The 22931-nt window shown below is 39.9% G+C and overlaps 1 protein-coding gene across 3 annotated transcripts in view, besides 2 other annotated features; it reads right to left on the reverse strand.

The window, feature by feature from the left end:
- The window catches only part of GLRA1 (glycine receptor alpha 1), a 102339-nt gene extending 91125 nt beyond the window's left edge, over positions 1-11214 (reverse strand). For all 3 annotated transcript variants that reach the window (NM_001292000.2, NM_000171.4, NM_001146040.2), the window contains exon 1: positions 10857-11214. Coding sequence is in view for 2 of the 3 variants with exons in the window: in NM_000171.4 (NP_000162.2) it covers positions 10857-10912 (56 nt within the window). In the remaining variant the exon portion in view is untranslated. The remainder of the gene's footprint in view (positions 1-10856) is intronic.
- Positions 4079-4799: an enhancer, noted in NCBI's record as "OCT4-NANOG hESC enhancer chr5:151297277-151297997 (GRCh37/hg19 assembly coordinates)". NCBI's record gives its function as "activates a minimal SCP1, AML or CMV promoter by ChIP-STARR-seq in naive H9 embryonic stem cells {active_cell/tissue: H9 hESC(naive)}" and the evidence as "EXISTENCE:reporter gene assay evidence [ECO:0000049][PMID:30033119]".
- Positions 11494-11706: a silencer, noted in NCBI's record as "fragment chr5:151304692-151304904 (GRCh37/hg19 assembly coordinates)". NCBI's record gives its function as "represses an EF-1alpha promoter that drives an FKBP-Casp9 reporter gene in an ReSE screen in K562 erythroleukemia cells {active_cell/tissue: K562}" and the evidence as "EXISTENCE:reporter gene assay evidence [ECO:0000049][PMID:32094911]".

Below are 22931 nucleotides of genomic sequence, written 5' to 3' on the forward strand. Positions count from 1 at the left end.
TGCCAAACATGGTGTTTAGAATAATCCCATTTTTGTAAAACAGAAGCAGCTTACTACAGTAGCACAGCAGCTAAAGGCTCTCTGAAGCCACACTTCCTGGATTCCAATCCCACACTGACACTTCCAAGCTGGGTGATCCTAGGAAAATGATTTAACCTCATCTGTACAATGAAATGAATAATAGTATATGATTTATAGGATTGTTCTGAAGGTTACATGGGTTAAGTTCTATCCAGCTCTTAGAAAGGTGTCAGGCACGAAGGAAGCACTCATGTTTTTGTTATTATTATGTTATTAAAACCATTTAGGAGGATAATATCAAACCGTTAAGTGATTTATCCTAGGAAGTAAGATTTACATGTATTTTAGTTTCAAACATATCTCCCTATGCTGTTTAATATTTTACAACAAATATGTATTTGTAGTGTAAAAAACAAAATAAAGGAAAACAAAATGACAAACCAGCAGGTCTATTTTAAGAGTTGATATTAGGAGACTTTATTTCTATTGTATTCTTTTTCTCTAATAGCAATAGGGCTTGTAGGGACACATTGGAAAGTGTCTCTGGTGTCACTCAGAGAGCTATTGAAAACAGATGTCTGAGACAGCATTGCCTGAGTTTCCCACAGGCCATGTCAGGGGTGATGCTGACGGCTATTATGGAGGGCTGGCCCTTTCTGCTCCCCTTGCCTTGTCTGGGCTGGATGTGGTTTTCTGGCTTAGAGATGTTAAGAGAAACCTGCTTTGAAGGTCTGCTTTGGGAGTGGTAAATCTGGGGCATGCGGTGAGACCTTTAGTGCTTGAGGTGGGGCACATACAGAAGATAAGGGAGACTGGGTATACTCCTGTGTGTCTGGGGGTTAGAGAACACAGCTAAAAATGTCTTTGGTCTGAGTATAAGGGACCAAGACTTTTAAAAATTCTCTTCTTGGGCCAGAGACTATGCTGCCCTTCTTCTTGACCTCCTGATTCAGTCAGAAATTCTCCCCCACATTCCTAGCTAGCTTTCTCAATGAAATGATCTTGGTCAAAAGGCAGGTGGGACAAAGGAGAAAGGACGTTCAGTGGCTGACCATCTCTACCCCTTGTCAGAGCTCTAACCACACACTTTATAATGGGGGTGGGAGCTAGTGCAATTTCTCTTGTACGTCAAGGATAGAGATTGAGAGCTCGTATCTACTTACAGATGCATGTTAATAACTTTTTAACTATCCAGAACCACCTGCAAGAGATTAGCTCTTGATTTTCTAGAGAGGCAAATTCATATCTTTCGTCTCTCTCATCCAGTCTAGTCTCCTCCTTCCTCCTCCCTGGTTCATTCTTAGAGTAATAGTGGCAGGGTAATGGTGAAAGGAGTGTTTTCTATAGTCACACCCAATTTTCAATCCTAGCTCTGCCTTTTACTAGTTGTCTTACCTTTGGCAAGTTACATAACCTCTTTATGTATCAGTCTTGTCTCCTGTAAAATGGGGATAGGATAGTACTTTTATAATAGAACATAATAGTATTTTTTTTGAGAATTATGAGGTAGGGTATATGATGTTGTTAGCATAGTATCTAGCATTCAGTAAACACTCAATAAATGCTAATGATTATTTTTAATGAGTTGTTGCAGTTGGGGCTGAGATGGGGCATCCTGAGGGAAGGCAGAAGAGAAGGCTCAGGAAGAAAGGAATATCTGTTTGCAGTTATCTATCAACATATAAGATGCATTTTTTCTGTACCCCAGCAGTTTCATTCCTAGTTCTTATTATCTACTTGGAGAAATACCACATGTTTTCATAAAGTTGTAGGTACACTGTAATTATTGCAGCACTGATTGCAGTGGGAAAATTAGAAAAAGTATAAGTGTTCATCAATAGGGGATGGCTAGAAAACAATGGGACATCCATAACATAAAATGCTCTGCAGTGGTTAAAAGAATGAAGTAGAACTGTATGCTTCAACAGGTAAGGCTTCCCAAGACATGTTAATATGTGAACAAAACAAATAGTAAATTACATAGAAAATATGATTCCATGAAATGATTGTATATTTCAATGGTTATATACATGTGTGTATGTAATGTATATGTAATACATATATATATATATATATATGAATAAAAAATTATCAAAAAGGATAACAGTTGAAAGGGACCTAGAGGTCATTATCAAAGGGGATCTCAGGCTTTGGTGTAGTATTATAATTCCTTAAAGAGGTAATGTATGCAGACATTGTGCAGTTAAACGTGATCAAGGACAGAGAAATAAATGCCTATCTGGCCAAGAGTAGGAAGAACAAGGCTCTGTCAAACCAAAGGCCAATGAAAAATTTCCAGCTCTTTTTTTCTAGGCTTCTTTCCACCCCTTTTATCCATTGGTAGAGGGGGAGGGTTATTAGACTGAAAGCTGTACCAGCTCAAAGTGGCTGCATAAATATATCTCTATCTATCTGTCTATCTCTATGTATCAGTATGGTGAGGGAGGAGCAAGGAGATCTGTATTTGAATCCTGGTTTTACTCTGAGAATAACAGCATGGTTACCTGCTGTTACCAAAAGGCAAATCACCTTTTTTTCTTTAAGCCTCAGTTTTCTCAGCTCTAAAATGGGGATACTAACCATTGTCCTATATCTAATTTTTAAGGTGATTGGGCAGCTTATATGAGATCATGGATATAAAACATGCTATAACCTGTGAAGTACTTTTTATAAGACAGTACTGCAAATCTGCCTGGCAGCCAGGGTTGCAGCAGCCTTGCCGCATTCCTCTGGAGCTGGCGAATGTTGCAGAACTGAGCACACAGCAATAAACACGCAGCTCTCAGAAGGCTGAAGATCATAGTAGTTACTCTGGTGTGTAAAATACTGACATGATTTGCAGAAAGGCTGACAGGTTAAAGGGATGGAGAAAAAGGAAGATCATGGTCCTGAGGTCAGACAGGTGGTAGAATGTGGCAGTGGTCTCTGAACATCTGGGAGGCCTAAGCAAGCCTCTAGCTATGCAAAGTTGAGAGTACAACGTACACAGGAAGACTGTTAAGTGAGATTATCTTTGGAGAAAGAAACCACATACCCTCTCCTTCTGACCATCTTGATTCACCTCCTTTATCAATCCTGACAGACTCTCATTGCTGTGTCCCAGGGCCAGGATTTAAAACTCATTGCCCGGGTGCCCCTTCTCTTTATCTAGTGTCACATAGAGTTCCCAGCTGTGTGAATGAGAGCTTTTGGTGCACCAGGACTTCAGAGACCAGGCCACCAGTTTGGGGATAGGGATAGCTCCCTGAAGAACCCTCTGGAAGGGTGAGTGTGTTTGTGTTTATGAGAAAGGACAGAGTGTGGGAGGATTGAAGGAAAGAAAGTGCGGTGGCAAAGTTAGGGTGTATGGACTCTAGAGACGATATGTAGTGGAGTAAGTTTGGGGATTATCTATGGCTTTGAGAGCTCTGTCACCCACTCTATAAACTTGAGGTAGTTATTTATCCCCTCTACATCTGCAAAATAAAAGGGTTGATGTATGTCAGGCGTTCTCAGTCAGAATGATCTAGAGCCTTGCTGTGCAAACCTTTGGTCCAAGGAAGCAACAGCATCAATCTTCTGGGTGCGCTTTGGAAATGCAGATGCTCAGGCCTACCCCAGACCTCCTGAGTCAGAATCTGCATCTTAGCAGATCCTCAGGTGATCCTGGACACTGAAGTTTGAAAAGCACTGATTTAAAGACTCTTGTTGACATTATGGGTTTCTGGGTCCCCATTCTGAGAGATTCTGTTTCAGTAGTTTGATATGATTTTGATAATCTGTATTTCATTTTATTTAATTTTTAAAACCACTTTATTGAGGTGTGATTGACATACAAAAGCTGTACATATTTAGGACTTGATGAGTTTAGAGACAAGTATATACTCATGAAACCATCACCATAATCTATGCCATAAACTATCAATCACCCCCAAAAGTTTCCTCTTGCTCTTTTATATATTTGTTATTATTATTGTTGTTATTTGCAGTAAGAATACTTAATATAAGATCTGTCCTCTTAACAAATGTTTGGGAATCTGTCTTTTTGACAAGCCCCTCACAGCTAACTTTGACAGCCATTGAATTCTAGAGCTAAGAGTCCTTCCTACCGCAAGATTCCATGATTCTGTTGATACTCAAGACACTCTGAAGGAAAGTGCAATTCTCTGGGGGTGAACAGGTGGAAGAGTTGGGAATGTACTTGTGAGAAAGGGAGCAGAGGCTTGTTCTCCATGTGCCTGTGGGTTGCCCAGAATATGAGGCAAGAGAGCATGCTGCTCAGGGCTGCTGCCCATTTCATGGCTGGGATTAATGATTGTCGGCAGCTCCCTGTTAAGATGGTAAACTAATTTAGAGCAACGGACACTGAAAAACAGCCCAATTCAAAGGCAGAGAGTGGTAATCTAATTGCATTGAATTAGCCTCAGGAGACTTGGACAATACCAACTTTAGAAAATCACAAAGGGATCCTTTGTAAGGAGTTTCAAAAGCTTTGGGGCCTCAGTACCCCTCATAAGAGCTTGCATTACAAAGCATAGGCACTGTGTGGATAAGCCCCTCTCCCCAGCATCTCTGGGCATTGTTCCCTTCTAATGTGCTTTCTGAATGAATTTGCTGGCTGGCTGTATAGTGTTTTCATTTTGTGTGTTAGGCTTTACAGGGAGTTGGTTCAGGGAGACAGCTGGAGTTCAAGGCTGAGAGGCCGTCAGTCCTGTGAACACCATCCGGTGCCTGTGGCCTTGTCCGTGGACAAGTGCATTTTCTGGTAGTTTTTTTCTGGCTCATTCTGAGGCCCTTCTCATTTCTTAAAACGAGGCTTTTGCATAACCAAGGTGATTTCCTTTTAATAATTCTTTGTTGCATGGTGTTTGTATGTTCATTGTCCAATTTATTAGTTATCCAATCCATTTTTAAGAAGAAAAAGATCCCAGTTAGTGGGTATTCATGTCATGATTTGAAGAGCTTACAAAGATTGGATAGCAATTTGGAAATCAGAAAAGGAGGGAATATAGAATTGCGAGGGATTGTCTCTGACTTGCATTTCATTCACTCTTCTGCAACAAATTACAAATCTCAATTTGCAAAAGAAGCTTGAATTCCTTCTATGTCTTTCCTGGGAGGTGGACGTCCAGTCTCTGCTTGCACACTTCCACTGACAGACACCATCACTACCACTGAGGCAGCCCACAGTATCATTTGAAAGAGCTACCAGAAAGTTCTGACTTATATTGAGTCCAAATTTGTAAGAGTGCATTAAAAAAAATCTATGAATCTATGAATTTACTCTGATTCTTCTCTTGGAGCTATATAGAATAAATCAAATCTAATGTTTCCCAATATGGGGTCCCTGGGTACATAGGAGATTCATGAAATAGTAATGAGGACTCAGAGTGCATTTTAAACATTTCAAAGGCTCTAACAAATTGCATATTTACTTCTGACAAGACTCTCTGGATTAACTAAAAAGAATCACATATCTTTACTTTTGTTTTTTCTTAGGTCAACTCAATGTGGTGACATTGCTTATCCCATGGTATTTAGTATTTCTGGCGGTTACTTGTGCCTTTGATTAATAAAGATGGGAAAAATATGTTAATGATGAATGGTATCTGGTAAACAATTTTTTTTGAAAAAACAAAAAACAAAAACATAGGCTTTATGAGGGAAAAAAGAGCCAAACAGAATCATTGATAAAAAGTACAGAAATGTTTGGTCTCTCTTTCTCACACCGTTTTTCAGATCTGTGAGTATAGTGGTCAGGCATCATGTTTTCTCATCATAATAAACATTTCCCACAGAAACTGACATATGTATAGGATCTGTCAATAATCATGTCTGGGTCGGGATAACTCTCCAAAAGGTGAATTGCTTAGTGAGGTCCTCAGTTCTTTCAGACCTTTGAGCCTGACTATACCTCGATGTGGCTATTTCTTATAATAATTGAAATACACTTCAATAGCTGTAACCAAAGCTGTGCTATCATTGGAAGAGATCTGGAGAAGATATCCTAAACTGGCACAGCTAAAAGTGATTTTAGAACGTGATTGGCCAAATCTCTTCATTTTACAGCTGAGGAAACTGAGAGCCAGAAAGGTCATAGAACCCTCTCAAGGTCATGCCACTAGCTAAATTCTGGATCCTAGGTCTCCTTCCCTTTAGGCCAAAGCCTCTTTGTTTAATGCGAACCTGCAGAATAGTTTCAAGATGGCCAGGCAGGGAGACTGTGCCATCCATCTTAAAAATCATGCTGGCTTCTGCCAGCTGATGAAGGAAATAAAGTTAATGACGCCCACATAAATGTGATGCTGTCGCAGGACGCGCGAACAGGCTGCCTGGAGGGGAGCTCTGTGGGTCCTCTGAAGAAGGAAAAAAGGATTTTAATGTACCTTTAAAGGGAGCAGTGTCTCCCCTTTCTGCAATGACAGGGACTCTGGCATCTGTGCCTGCAGAGTGTTTAGTTTTAGACTGGACACATAAGCACATGATAAACAAGTTCCTGGTGAAGAAATGAAGGCAGCATCACCACTGGTCAATTCATCCTGAACCTTTGTGGGTATGGGCCCCTGCCTTTGATGAAGATCTTATTAGGGGTTGGAGAGAATGTAGAAGTGTCAGATTCAGTCATTTGAGTTGATTGGTAAGAAAATTGAGTCCCCATTAGAGGAAGAGACTTGTTATGCCCATGCTATGGGATGGAAGCAGAGCTGACTCTAGAGGCAGGAGTTCTCAAATTATAGCCCAACTTCTCTTCCCGCTGCACCACATGGCCGTAACCTCTTTCATAAGACAATCTAAAGAAAACAATTTCCTAAATATCCTCTGCTTAAGTCATTACCAGTTTGGCAAATATGCAGAAGTCATGTGCTGATTCATAACTCTATTTACCAGCCTAGGGTCCCTGTCCAACCCGTCCTTCAGGAGCCAAATCGTAACATTTTCTTTTCTCTTTTTTAAGGTTCCTAAGCCCAAAAAGGGAGTAGACTCTCTTTTTGTTATTTACAGTAAGAATACTTAATATAAGGTACTTAATATTAAGTATTCTTAATTAATCAAATACTTAATTTGATGCTAATACAAACTTGCCCAAGGAACTTCATTCCTTGGAGAAAAGTCCTTGGGCCATGTCAGAAACTCCTAGGCACGTTCTGCAGTGCCAAAATGCAGCAGGTAAGATTCAAGGTGGAGTACAGCTCTCCTTCAAGAAGGGAAAAATCAAGACAGTCATCTGCCCTTCTTGACAAGCCTGGAGATGGAGAAGCCACAGGGGCCACCTCAAGGAAAAGCCCATTCACCTTTCAACTGGGTAGGTTTTTTCTTTAGGACTGAGATATGAAACAATGTATTTGTCATTTTCCTTTTGATCCTAATGTGGATAGAAACATCTTCCCTTCAAGGTTTTGATGACCTTTGTTAGCAGTTGAGTGGCATATTCAGTACAAAATCCAGTGCAAGGAAGCATCTACTGGGATGGAAGAGGGAAGTAGCACATTAAAGAAAAGCTGATCATCTTTTGGGAAAACCACCCAGGGATTAGATCTGGTTTATCTCCCTGCCTTTATTCCCTTCTCAAGCACATGCTAGGTCCATTTTTGTTTTATCAGGGTGCTTTATATATTTCATGAGGGGCATTTTCTCAAGGAAGCTAGACTTTCCTCCTCGTTATAATTACTACATTGGAGCAGCTGATTAAAAATTTGGTCATTCTGTACTGTGGTTTGAAACCTTGGACAATTTTGTCTCCCCTTTGCCCAGGATGTATATTTGGCAAGGTCTGGAGACATTTTTTGATGGTCATGACTCAGGGAGGTAGTGCTACTAGCACCAGGGATGCGGCTAAACATCCCACAATGCCCAGGACAACTTCCATAACAAAGAATTATCCAGTTAAAAGTGTCAACAGCGCAGAGCTGGAGAAACATGTGTCTGTTTGAGTTGCTCAGAAGGCAAGAGAATTTTGGGGTCATACTGGGCCTGACCCAGCCATAAGCCTCTGTAAGGGCTCTGGGGATCAAAGCCAAGTTCACTTCGGCTTGAGAGGACATTTGAAAGAAACGTGCTTCTACCATTAAAAAAATTTGCCTATTATTTTTGACCAGTCTGGCTACAGGGCCCCATTCTCAAATGAAAATAAGGGAAAACATTTAGGTTATTGACTCTCAGAATGCCACTTACTGAATTTTAGAACCATAGGTTTTTAAAATATCAAATCAGGAACTTTAGCCAAATCACCCGATCTTACTTATGAAGACACAGTTGATGAGCATGCAATGCTTTTTGTCTTCCAGGACCCCATGTTTCCCTTTCTAAGACCCAGTTCCTCCTCTGTGTTGGTACCATATGGGATTTCCGCCTCATTCACTCGATTTTTGTTTTTGTTTGTTTGTTTTGCTGTTGTTATTGCCATTTCGCTGGTTATGTGCTGATGCAGCATGTCTGTTATTGAGAGCCTTTCCTAGCCCCCGATTTCCCCAACAAGGTGAGCAGCTGGCATCATTTATTCTAAGGAGTACCTGGGTGACTGAGATGATTGGATTGGCCATTCCAACACAGCACCCATCCCCTGGGGAAGAAGGGTTTATTCACATGGAACCTGCTAGAGACCTGCCAGCCTCCATCTACCCCCAAATACATTCTAATAAGTCCTCACATTATAATGCTTCTGTATTTTCACCTGGAATTTTAAAAGTGAGTGACTTAGAAATGAAAATACCAATTGAACAAATACAATCTGCTCACTTTGCTTCCTTGTGACCTTTTTTTAATCTCTCTGAAAAATTGCTGAATTTCCTGAGTTCAATTATTGTCTGTATTGTGTTTCAAAAATCAACATTTACTCCCCTAATGAAGTAGCCGTTCCTATATTTTGAAAGTGCAGTGGTGCCACCCACATTTCCAGCTCTCCACAGTTATAACTCTTCTTTCCTTATAAACACGTAGAATTATATCCCACATCCATTGTAGCTCATGTGTGCGTTCACGCACGTAGGGGAAAGAGATGTAGAATGATGTTTTCTGTTAGGCCACCACCAGCTTAGTTGAAGAATTAACACAGTGGATTCATAACCTTATCAAAATGACTACAATCCAGACCTTTTAGACTGAGTCTCCCTTTTGTGAAAGACAATGTCTGGAGAGGAAAATCAAGCATTGCATACTGCTCATCAAGAAAAAAAGAGAGAGTGTGTGTGGGGAGAAAGATGTGCTTGGTTCTATTAATTTGCTCTTAAATCTCTCTGGTTCAGTTCTGTCTCCTGTAGACCAAGCAGAGAATCAATTTGCATACAAATGTTACAAAGTACCCAACCTCCATACATTTGTAGTTCTATTAAATATGCAGGGGATAAAGGATCTCATATTATAAATAGAATACTTCCTGCCCTTTCCCCCATAAAGTAGCCACATTTTGATACGTTTCATAAGGCCCTGGATTGTTGTACTTTTTCATTCTATCTGACTCTCTGACTATTTGCAGTCTGATCTGTGGTCAGGACTCTGTGGCCTACAAAATAATTGTTTGAACAGGAGATTAGAAGCTTTAGCATTGGGTATCTCAGATAAGGGGGGATGCCTTTTCTTCATCTCAAGAGACATGAAAAGAGACTGAAATACAGAAACTTACTATTTGAGGGGAGGTGTCATTTAATAAACCAGCCAACAGATTAGTCAAATCAGCAATTCCTATGAACTGTAATAAAACAAAAATTATTTGCTGTTTTATGTTGGGAGAGGGTAATATTTGGTGACCACTTATTTTTAAAAACAATTTGGGGTGGGTTTTTCAAATGACTGTTAATCCAATGCCACAGTAAAATATGAGAGGCAGGCATCTAAAATGAGGAAGATTAATGATCCCTGCATGTCATGGAAGAAGAATAATGTTTTTCAATTCATATAAGTGGAATTTATCATAGCCATCTCTGAAGATGGTATGATTCACACACTTACTAAAGGACTATCTATTTCAATGCTTCTTAAAGAGGTGATTTTTCACTTTTCACTTCTACTAACATAAGAAAGACAAGTCTTCAGGCAGAAAATTTTAACCTGAGAGACAGTGGATGGGATAACTCAGCTGTTGAGTCAAATATAAGCATAAATTTAAAAACAAAGCAAATGAAGATTGCTCATGAGTTCAGGATCTGCAGCTAACAGAGTTTGGAAAGGTGGGTTGGGGAAAGAGGCAGTCAAAGTTTCAAAAGGGAAATGTTTCCCAGTATGTTCCTAAATAGATCCACTCTGCACCCAAGTTCAGGGCTTTACACACTGAGGTTATAATACTATTGTTTCCAAGCACTCAGCCTTAGTAATCCCCCTCCCTCTTCGCAGAAAAAGAAAACAACAGCAAAAAAGGACAGAAAATGAAATGATCTGTGTCCAGCGAGTTTGAGTGCAACCTTCCCCGTCACCGCTAGTTGTCACTTGGCTCCCAGACGGGAAAGCTGAGGTTTTCGGCACTGCGGTTAGGGAGAATGCAGTCCTAATTAAACTGAGTAACTCCTAAAGCTTCCCTTTAAAGTCCTCAGCCGAGTGAAAGCCAACATGCAGTGGGGCTGGGGACCAATAGTGGGGGGTGTAGCAGACAGAAGGACAAACAAACCGTAAGAAACAGGCAAACAGCTGCCAGAACAGCGACTGTCTCAGACCTCCACGCACAAGCCAGACACCCTGCGGGCGGGGGTGGGGTGGGTGGCGGGGGGTGGGAGGGGGGAGAAGGGAGACGGGGGATGGAAGGACCCGATTGCAGTGGAATACAGCACCCCTCTTCCCCAAAATGATGGGACCACGGACAGAGGTAGCCTCCGTACTCTTTCCCCCCATTTCCATCAGAGCGATGTGGTCAGTAGAAAATTGCATACCTGAAGAATACAATGGTCTCCCAAAGGTAGAGTCGAAGAGTATTGAAGCTGTACATTTTTCAGGTCCTTGTGCTTTGTAGTCCACGAGTTATGGGGGCAAAAATGTTTCAAATTGGCACTTACAAAACCAGAAAGCGCTATTGCAAAAAATAATCCAGATGTTAAAGGGAGGCGGGGAACAGGGGCGCGGAGGGAGAGCCCCAGGGGAAATTGGAGCGAGGGGGTCGTAGATACCACGGACAGCGGCGGCTGCGAGGCGTTTCAGCACCACGGAGAGCGTCCAGACCTGCTTTTCAGGAGCGCGAAGAGTATTGCTGTTTGTTAAACTCCAGCGTGTCTGTTGGCTCCCTGCGGCGCTGGGGAGGCACGTTTGGGGGTGGGTATATTTCCTTTTTTTTTTTTTTTTTTTTAAACCCCTGTTTTTCTGTTTAAACGGCCAGCTCCCTGCAAGGAAAAAAATCTTCTGTGGAGATCAGAGCGCTGGCCTCGGACCGTTGGATTGGGCGAGCATCTTGGGTAAAGAGAACAGAGCTTTATGGCTCTGGGCCGGCCTGAGGGGGTTAGGGGCGAGGGGAAAGCGGTTGACGGCGCTGCCTTCAGTTAAATCTCGGAGAGTGTGCCAGGCTGGCGCATCGCAATCCAGTCTCGGAATCTCGTTCTCCTGCCTCTGTGCGGGTCTGCTGTCGCCTTGCTATTCCTGTTTCCCGGTCCCCGCCGAATAAGTTGTGATCACTGCAGAAAAGGTGTCCCATTGCTCGGGGCCGCAGGCGTCAGAGAGCCCAGGGCAAGTTTCAGGGGCTACCGGGGTCCCTGGCTACCCCGCGGGGCTCTGAAGCCCAATGTCTCAGATGCATCTCGGTTTTCTGAGCTCGCTCATCTTCCCTTGGTCAAGACTCCTTCAGATCTTCAGACTTTCTTACTGCATTAATTTAACAAACTGGAGGCGTGGGGGATGGGAGGGGTGATAGCCGATGGGAGGGGGTTGAGGGGGAAAAAAAAAGGGGGAAAACTCCTTAGTATCTTCAAACCCTCCCACTCGAGGTGTTCATTGGCCCGCGGCTACGAAAACCAGATCTTCTCCCGGTATTCGGCCAATAGCCTGTTAGACTCCGGGTTGAATTTAACGCTTAGAGTGCTGGACGAGATCTGCGCAATCCCCTTCCTACCCCCAAGCTTCTTTCCGTGTAAGCGGTGGGGTGAGAGAGGATATGGAATTAATCTCTCTAGGTCTCTCAAAAGGTTGCCTTGATTTTTAAAGAATGCAGTTGTATGTGAGTAAAACACATGGTTCCTTGTTAAGACGTGCTCTGGGCTCAATTTATCCTTTTAAAAGGGAAGAGTTGAACCAGATCCCTGATTTTTTTTAAAAGAGCTCTGAAGTTATAATATTTGGCCCTAGAAAGAAAGGAGGAATATCCAAAAAGAAGTCTGGTGGATAAAGACCCCCTCCAGGGTCACCGCAGCAGGGAAATACGAGAGAAATTCTTTGAGCAGTTTCCAGCGTTGAGTGGGAGGTGTTGTGGCTGGCACCCTTTTGAGAGGGAATAAAAGCACCTTCTTCCAACTGGACAGGAGACAGTTTTATTCGCCTTTTATATGCTGGGGAAACTGAGCCTCACAGAGCTGTGGCTTGCTCCAAATTGATGGCAGAGCCAAGTTGTACACACAGGGATGTGTTATGACTCACATTTCGTTATTTCTTCCTCTGTTTTCCCACCTTATTTGAATCTTAGAAACCAGCTATACATTTCACTGTAAAGCCCATCTGGTGAGATGGAGTTAATCAGATTTTCCCCAAGCTGTGGGACTATAGGATAAATACTTTAAAGGATTTTCTGGCTGATTTGAACTCATTGGGACTCTGGGGACTCTCTCGCCCAAGGCTACTGAGAGAGGACAACCCCTCCTCCTTACCCAATAACGTTAGAAACTCCTTTGGCTGATCTCCCAAGAATACTCATCAGCTCAGCTCCCTCCAAGGCTAGGCCTTCTCCCAAGCAGAAAGGATCTGAAAAGTCTTGTTTACTAGCCTCTTACCAGTAGGATTTCCCCTCCCCTCCCCCTGTACTACAATAGCATACCCCACACTACCGGTTCTGTTATTGGCTCCCACAGTCTAGAATTTCCATGATATTCTGCATAGTGACTGAAAAGGAAATTTTGTTTTGAAGGTGTATATTAATATGAGTTGGATACAAATTTAAATATAATGTATAATATATGTATTTTTATATATGTAATCAAGAGCTAACCTTTATTAGCATGGTTTCTATGTGTCAGAAATTACTGTGAATTCACATAATCTCATTTACTTTTCACAGTCAAACCTTGAGGTAAGTATTATCTTTGCGTATGTGTTTGTGTACATTTGTGAGTATGCTAGGGCAAAACCAGCTTGTAGGTTACTGTGTATACAAATTTATTTATGATTTGTATCGTGCCTAATTCTGAAGTGATTTTGATATGCATATGTGTATTTGTACGTTTGTATTTGTAAATGGGTCTTTCTCTACATACACATAGATGTGTATGTATCTATGTGTGTCTTTGTGGTGGTCCTAGAAGTACTGAAACAAGCCGTAAGCTGGCAATTTTGTCCTGGTTCCTCATCTGACTAGGAAATACCTGCATAGCCAGGTGTGATGCAGTATGTGGAAATTTGTTTTTCTTTTCCTTCAAGGGGTGCTGAGTGTGTGTTGCTGTTCATGAGTGTGAGTGGCTCCAAGGCTGTGGCCTGTGCAGGAGGTAAGAGTAATTATTACCTGGGGTGGTGGAGGGGCACCTGTTTGTTAATAGGCCTCTGTTTACTATGAGGCTGATACTTTCATTTAATCAGTACACATGAAATGAGCATGTGCCAAGTATTGGGGATATGACAGTATATAAGATAAACAACACAGTATATACTGATAGTGTATAAAATAAACAGTATATAAGATAAACTTTTGGAACATGCAGTTGCTTCAGAAGTTCAGTGGGAAGAGTCCCTCATGTTAATCTACACTTTTTACCCTACATATCACATATTTATGCCTGTACAGATCTTTTTGTTCTTGTTTAGGTCACTATTGAAAATAAACAACTGTGGGCTTGGCCGTCAGGGATTTATGTCCTTATTTTATCTCTGCTTCAAAAAGGTTGGTTATGTTGGATAAATGACTAAACTCCAGGCCTAAGTGAAATGAGGGTAGTAATGCCACTTTTCTCACTGCAAGAAACTGCATAGAATAAATATTTAAGTCTAACCTTATTGTAGCTTACCATGCTATGAAACAAAAATCTTCAAGGAATGGAATGGATTGGCTTCAGCTAATGGCTCATTTCTATTGGTAACTTTTCTGTGTAGTCTGACTCCAGCGTAGTTCTAATACTTGACTGGTCTCTTATAGATCCTAGTAGCCAGATTTGAGCCCTACTAAGTATGAATAAATTTTGACACACGGTGAGACTTATTTTATTACTAGAAAAGATTCATTATTTTATTCATTCAACAAACATTTATTGAGCATTTACTGTGTATCTGGTACTATTCTTGGCACTGGGGATATAGCAGGGAACAAAACAAGCCAAGAGCCCTATTCTAAAGGTATGCATCTTCTATTGGAGGAAAACAAGACAAACAAGGAAATATATGATGAGTTAGGCAGTCATAAGAACTAAAAAGAAAAAGGCAGGGCAGAGAGTGGCATGGAGGTGCTATTTTATGTAAGGTGATCATATCAGAGAATGGCTCCTGAAAAGGCATTTATGTAATTGAAGGAAGTGAAGGAATGAGTCATGTGAACCTTGGGGGCAGGTATGGAAAGCTTTCTAAGCAGTGGGAAAAGCAAATGTAAAAGCCCGGAGAGGGGAGTATGTTTGGAGTGTACAAGAAACAGCATGGAGACCAGTGTGCCTGGACAGAGTGAGTGCAGGGAACAGTGATAGAAGATGAGATTAGAGAGGAAGTTGGGGACTAGAGCAGGTACTACCTCCAAGAATAAAATTTCTGGGATGGCAGGAGCAAAATGAAAGCAGGGAGACTAGTTAGGAGCTACTGAAAAAGTCCATGTGAGAAATTCTTTAAGATAGTCTTGTTCAACATTTCGAGTACAGAAGAGGAAAATTATATACAGAGAGGTTAATAGACTTACCCCTTAGACTCATAGCGCAGCTGGGACAAGAACACAAGCACCCTAATTATAGCTAAAGGGTGTTTCAACTATTTTTTTGTTTGTTTCAATTAAGATAAAGGAAATGCAGAAAGAAAGTCAGGAAAATCTATGAGGGAAGAGAGTTTACCCGTTTTTATTACTAATATATACTGATATATATCACATATCAGTATCAGATACTAAGGGCTCAGTAAATATTTATTGCAAGGATGAATGAGTGAATAAACAAAAGAACAAAAAGATTCAGGCAGAGGACACAAATACAGGGGAAAGAGAGTAAGGAATGTTGTTAATCAGCTGAGATTATGTTGTCCTGAGCCAGCTAATGTAATTAATATAATGCCAAGCCTCTGTCCATAATGGCATTCACAGAGGAGAGTGCTGTATGTTTCAACACTGCTTTGACAGGCCTGAAAGATACTTTGCAAAGACAGATAGATATTTGGAACAACTGAGCAGCTTGCCTAATTGTGCTGTAGTATGATGAATAAAGGCCTGAAAATGGGACTGTGGAAGAGTCTTTTCTCCAAAGAATTAGAGGCTTGCTGCCAGCTCTTTCTAATCCTTCTAATCCTAATCCAGAATGCTCTTGTTACTTTTTTTTTTTTTTTTTTTTACAAAGCAATTACCTGTTCTTTATCCTTTAAAGAAGGGACCCCAGAACTACTTGGGGGATCTCAGTGACACCAGAATTTTAGTTGTAAAGAATAGATGCATAAAATACTAAGAGACCTTTCCTCCCATTTCACTAGCTATTCAAGGTCCAGGAAAGGGGGAACGACTGGCTTAAGATACCACAACAAAACTGAATCTAGATTGGAGGACTCCTATCTTTCAGGTCATGGTTCCCTACCCTTTTTTCTGTGAGACCTAAAATAACAGAAGTGGAGCTAAGATCTGTGATGAAAAATGCTTCATATCAAAGCTGACCTGCTCAGAGACCAGAGACTCCCCAATTTTCTTTTGTAGCCAAGTCTATACTTGTACTTGGTGCTCTAACAGCTTACTGTTTGTGAGAAAATTTTAGCGATCTCCCTGTGCCTCATTTCCATCTTTCTCTCAAACTATCTCTGCCTCTTTTTTCTACTTTCTTCTCATCTGTCCTTACATGTTATTTCATGTTTATTCAGTCAGTTTTTCTCTCTTTCTCTCTGTTTCTTTTTGAGATGGAGTTTTGCTCTTGTTTCCCAGGCTGGAGTGCAGTGGCGTGGTCTCTGCTCACTGCAACCTCCACCTACTGGGTTCAAGCGATTCTCCTGCCTCCGAGTAGCTGGGATTATAGGTGTGCACTGCCACACCTGGCTAATTTTGTATTTTTAGTAGAGATGGGATTTCACCATGTTGGCCAGGCTAGTCTCGAATTCCTGATCCCAGGTGATCCGCCTGCCTTGGCCTCCCGAAGTGTTGGGATTAGGGCATGAGCCACGGCGTCTGGACCAGTCAGTTTTTCTCATTGGGTCTCTCATCTCCTACTGTGTCCATAAAGACTTTCGGGATTAAGAAGGCTTGACATAGTATATACTTTTACTGAGTTTGTTCATTCACTCAAAGCCTTGTTCATTTATTAAAAAAACATATATATCTTGAACACTGGTTGTGTGTCTGACACTGTGCTGAGGTTTTACATGTCTAAATAAAGATCAGTTTTTAATAAATATTTATTAAGTACTTTCTGTGTGCTAGGAACTTTGGAAAATGATAGCACAAGAAAAGCATAATCAGTGTCATTGGAAGGAAGGAGGTGATAAAAGAGATTCCTGTACTGCGTATTTAAAAACCCTTTAATATTGAAATACACATAAATACATAAATTTTGATAAATTATTTACAAAATGAACACTCACATAGAACATTACCAGGACTCTAGAGGCCTGCCTCTTACCTCTTCCCAGTCATTATCTGCCAAAGATATCTATTAATGTTATTCTGATTTCTATTATGTTCATTTTGCTTGCTTATGACTAAATGGAATAAATAATCTTTGTTCTTAAGGGGGATCAACCTGTAACTTCCCTTTTTTAAAAATACCTTTTTCAGGTTTTGGTATAAAGATTATGGTGGCATCTTCAAGTTGTGAATGTTATTTCTTTTCTATTCTTTACAAACATCCACTCAAAGTTGTGCTGTTTCTTCTTTCAATGTTTGGGAGTGTTCATTGGTGAAGCCATCTGGAAGTTTCTTAGTGGAAGGTTTATATTTTAAGGTTCAGTTTAATAGATATAGAACTATTCTGATTGTACTTGTTCATGTATTGGTTTTAGTAAGTTTTATCTTTGTAGGCATTAGTCCATTTTATTTAAAATTTACATTTGTATAACATTTTTTATAATCCTCCTATCTTGTTAGTCTACAGAATCTGGAGTGATGTATTCTTTTTTGTTATATTGGTAATGTGTACTTTTCCTTTTTTATTGGTTACCTTTTTCTAGGTCATTAGCCATTGTATTGGTCACTTCATGTAACCAACTTAGAAATTCTTTTCTATATTATAAATTTGTTTTCTATTCCATTTATTTTGCTCTCAACTTATGCATTTTTTGGGGGTTTAATTTGGTTATCTTTTTCTGGCTTCTTGAGATGGATGCTTAGATAATTAACTTTCAACCTTTCTTATTTTCATATATATTTTTTCCTGATGTTTGTTTCAGCGGCATTCCATGAGTTGTGATAAGATATATTTTCAATATTATTCAGTTCAAAATATTTTCTGGTATCCACTCTGCTTTATTATTTCATTTTAGGGGTATTTAGAAGTATATTGTTGAATAATGTTATTCCATTGTTTTCTGGCTGACATTGTATCTTTGAAAAGTCAGCAGTAAGTCTTATTTTTGATCGTTTTAAGGTAATTATTCTTTTTTTCCCCCCTGATGGTTTTAAGGATTTTTATGTCTTTGGTTTTTACCAGTTTTATGTGCTGTACCTAGGTTTGATTTTCTTTACAAATATCTTGCTTGGGGCTTATAGAGCTTTTTGAATTTGTGCCTTGATATATTTCATCAATAGTCAGCATTTCATTATTGCTTTTTCTTTATTCTCCCTCTCCACTTAGAACTCCAATTGCACTTATGTTAGGCTTTTTCCTTGTGTCTCATATGCTGTCAATGCCCTTTTCTGCATTTTTTATTCTCTTTTCTCCTCTCTGCACCAATCTAGATCTTCTCTACTCTTTCTACTAATCTTCTCTTCTGCTGTGTTTCATCTGATTTTACACTTGTTAAATTAATTTTAATTATTAAATTAATTAAATATTAATTTCAATTGTTTTAATTTCCAGCTCTAGCATTACCACTTGCTTCTTCTTTTCTTTTCTCTTTAAAATAGATTATTGTTCTCTGGTGACATTCCTTATCTTTTTACCAATTTTCTGGAGTGCATTAATCCTGATTAAATTTCCTGTCTGATAATTCTAAAATATGGGTCATCTATTGGTGTGTTTCTATTACTTGATTTTTTATCATAGATTTTGTTTATTTGTATCTGTTTGCTGATATACTTGGTATTTTTTGAGTGAATGCCTTACATTGTGTATGAAAGATTATAGTGGCACTGGATCATGTTATCTTCTGGGAAGGATTAAATTTACTTTGGGTTAGCAGAGAGAGTATGGACAGATCATCTTGATTTAATCATGGATTAAGATGATTTTAAGTTGTGTTTCAGGCTTCGTGAGCATGTCACTTTCTGATTTACCTTATCCCTTGGGCATAGCCTATTAGGGTCTTAATTGAAAGCCAATTCTCTGCCTTTCTCTTTGGTGGGTCCTGAACTCCAATTTCTGTTCCCTCAACTCTGTGAGACTGCCAAAATCATTGCTAAGCTTTTCAATCCTTAGAAGCTGCTTTTTAAAAAATATGTTTACTTTATCTTGTAATGAAGCTGTCTCTGACCTTCCTCCCTGAAGTATCCCTCCCACCACTGTCATTCATTTTGTTTTATTTTTAAATGTACAGAAAAGTTCTCATATATCCTTCACCCAATTTCTCCTAATGTTAACATCTTATATAATATGGTACATTTGCCAAAATTAAAAAATCAATATTGGTACAGTTTTTTTCTTATTGTTTTTCTTACTGTCTTAAGATCAAATGCAGGGTACCACATTACATTTAGTCATTATTTCTCTTCAGTTTCCTACAAATGGTGACAGATTATCAGTCTTTCCTTGTTTTTCATGGCCTTAAGAGTTTTGAAGAGTGCTGGTCAGGTATTTCATAGAATGCCACTCAATTATGAATTTGGTTTTGTCCGATGATTTTCTTTTGACTAGACTGAGGTTATGAGTTTTTGGAAGAATATCACAGAGATGAAGTGATATCATGGGGATACATGACATCAACATAACTTATTACTATTGATGATAAACTTGATCATTTGGTTTAGGTAGTATCTCTGCCAGGTTTCTCTATTATAAAGTTACAATTTTTCTATTCCCATATTCTTTTCTTTTGGAGGTTGAGCCATTAAGTCCAGCTCACACTCAAGGAGAGGGAAATTAGCTCCACCTCCTAGAGGAGGTTATTAGCTATGTTTGCTTGGCTTCTCAGCCTCTGACCACGTGTATGTGCAGCTGAGAATTTGGCAAATGCATTATGAGGAATTGCATGCAGAATGTTGAGCTCACTTTTTCTGTGGTACTTTTTTTTTTTTTTTTGCGGGGGGATATTTGCTCCTCAATTTTTGGCTGCATTTAATTAATTTTTTTGCCCTTCCATCCCAGTGAACTAGGCCACTGCTTTCTGTTTTGCCCTTTTGCTCTGTATTGAGGTCAGAAAATGTCCAGAGTCAAGAAAGCACCAATTTAGGGTCCACTTTGATGTATTTTCCTTCTGTCTGGCTCTTCAAGTTATGGTTGCTCCCCATTGCCTTCAAACATCTGATGTCACTTTTGATATGGTTGTTATAGTTGTTCTCAATGTTTGTCAGATCCAAACTACTCCTTCATAGCCAGGAGGCAATGAGGAGACACTGTAGGGTCCCCATTACTCTGCACTATACCCATGGATTCCCTCAGCTGGCTCACTTTTGGTCTTTTTGCCTATCTCACCTTATGCTTTCTTCAGGGATCAGCTATTACTTTCTATTCTTTTTCTTCCATCAAGCATTTTTTTTCTCTAGCTGTCACTTCTAGTTTTACATCCAACCTATAGTTCATTCTTCACACAGTTAATGTTTGCATTGAATTGTCTTTATACTTAGAATGAAATACAATTACCCATGGGATTTATATGTTCAGCCCTGACCCCCCTTCTCTGACAACACTTCCTGCCATTCTCCCCATCTCTTACCAAGCTATAGACTTTTGTTCATTCTTGTTTCCAAGCTACAGACACAGATATTCACACAATTGGTTCTTCTTGTAATTCAGATCTCAGTTAAAATGGTACCTCCTCGATAAAACCTCTTACTCTCCTTCCTGAAGTACTTTCCCCATCACTATTATTCATTCTGTTTAATTTTTCTTTGCAGCAATTATCCTTACCTAATATTTGTTCATTTATGTATTTACTTTTTCATTTTAGAATATAAGCAGCACAGTAATAGGAAATTTCTTCTTCCCCAAGCTATTACTAGTGTCTGTAGTAGTTCTTGGCACATAGTAAACATTAGATGAATGAATAAGATTTTACAAGATTTATTTACACTGTGACTTGCACTGTATTTCATGCTTCTGATACACTCTCTCATTAAATTATCAGAATAACTCTATGGAATAGAGTCTATTATTGTCCCCAGTTTATAGAGGAATAATGCTTAAGGCACAGAGAGAGATTGTCTTGTTCAGTTACAGCAGGTAGCTGGTGGTATTAAGACTTAACTTCGAGCCTGCACTTTTAATCCCTAACATCATTGTTTTTAGACTTATGATCTGTATTGTTACATTTTAGATCATTAGTTATAATTAATTAGGTTTTCTATTAATTTTACATGGGGCAAATCCTCTCAATTAAAGAATAATTTTCTTGATAACAAAATATGATCTTATTGTGGATTTCCTTTTTGTGTTTCCACCACAAGAGTTTTGAGAATTGACATCTGGATTTTTGTTTTGCTTTTTTTTTTTTTCACCTAGCATCCACTTGTCATTCTTCTGATAACAGTATCTGGATTTTCCATGAAGAGTACCCCTCTTTCATCCTCTGTTGGTAGGATTAGCCAAAGATCTCCCATGCCTGATACAGGACTGCTCAGTTGATATGCTCCACCCCTAAACAGACACTTCCTTAGGAATAAACATGTGACCTGAATCTATCCAATGACAGTTAATTCTGAGTCTTTTGCTGGAAAAAGATTCACTTTATTTATTTTTCTTTTAAGACTTAACACTTTGAGGATGTAAGTAGGAGAGCCCACTACTCATAAACCACACCCCCACCCACTGTAAACAAAACAAAAAATAAAGCCAATATTGAGGCACTCAGAATTGGGAGTTGGAGAGAGGTATTAACAGATGCTAGATAATATTGTTTGATTGTTTGAGCACCTTCATCCAGTCAGCCTCAAACCACAGTCTCATCTGGCCGTTTTGGTTTAGTGCACCAATTAATTTATTTTGTGCTTAAGCTAGCTTTAGTTGGATTTCTCTCATCCTTACACCCAAGAGAGCTGTGACTCATACAATGCTTCATAAATGCCTGTTGATGGTTGATTGACTATGTGGACATGTGACTTGTACAAACCCAAGAGTGTATCTGTGTAGCCTGATGAGAGGCAAAAGGGTGTCTTGCATGACCTTGAAAAAAACCTCACCACACACCTCCCCCAGCTCTCTGCTTTGGGCCCTTGACTCTGCATGAGGTCAATCTCTTATTTGTCAGGTGGTGGTAATAACGAGCCAGATGGAATAGTTGCTGATGCTTGGATATCAATTAGTGAAGCTCTAACTGCAGGAAAACCTCTCAGACATGTCCTAAGTGTCTTAATCTCTCAGTGGGCCTTCTCCTCTAAAGGCTTAGATAGCTGGTAATATGCTTGAGCTGTTGATCCTTTCTTTGATCACATCTTATAGGATTATTCTGAATGAAATGGTGCCGAGGAACTGGGGCTGTTATTTGGTTGTCTTGGCTCACACTTAGGCCATGTTGCTTGGCTCTGGCATTTGTTTTTCTTCTTCCTCTGCTTGTGCTGGATTGGAAGGCTCTCACCAAAGCATGTGTCTTCTGATTCCCCAGCTCTCACCAAGTTGTGTAAGTGTCAGGTTAATCTTCAAGTCTAAGAAAACAGGGTTTAATAATTCCCTGCACACCTGGCAGCAATTCCCTTTTGTTGTTATCTTGCACTTTATCCTTATGGCAACTCAGGGATAGTCAGGGCAGATGTTACAAGTTCTATTTTACAGATGAGAAAAATGAGGGGCAGTGAGATATAGCAACAGTGTAGCAGATCTGCTCCAAGGTCAGTGCTCTCATATTATTACAGCATCTCATAACTCTGTGATTATCCAGTTATTTCCTACAACAGATGATCAGTAATATTTCCAATGCTTGGCCAGGCATGGTGGCTCATGCCTGTAATTGCAGCACTTTGAGAGCCTGAGGTGGGAGGATTGAGGATTGCTTGAGGCCAGGAGTTTGAAACCAGCCTAGGGAACATAGAAACACTCCATCTCTAAAATGTGTATATCTCATACTTTAAGAGCCAGCCCAAACAGCACCTCTTCTATATCATCTGCACATATCACCCAGCTAAAAGAACTCTCTTCTGAACTTGCATAGCACTCTTTCCAGTATCCTTACAGTTTTATTTTTATTTTTATTTTATTTTATTATTTTTTTATTATACTTTAAGTTTTAGGGTACATGTGCACCTTGTGCAGGTTAGTTACATATGTATACATGTGCCATGCTGGTGCGCTGCACCCACTAACTCGTCATCTAGCATTAGGTATATCTCCCAATGCTATCCCTCCCCCCTCCCCCCA

Source organism: Homo sapiens, chromosome 5, assembly GCF_000001405.40.
Source record: "Homo sapiens chromosome 5, GRCh38.p14 Primary Assembly".
NCBI classification, from domain to species: Eukaryota; Metazoa; Chordata; class Mammalia; order Primates; family Hominidae; genus Homo; species Homo sapiens.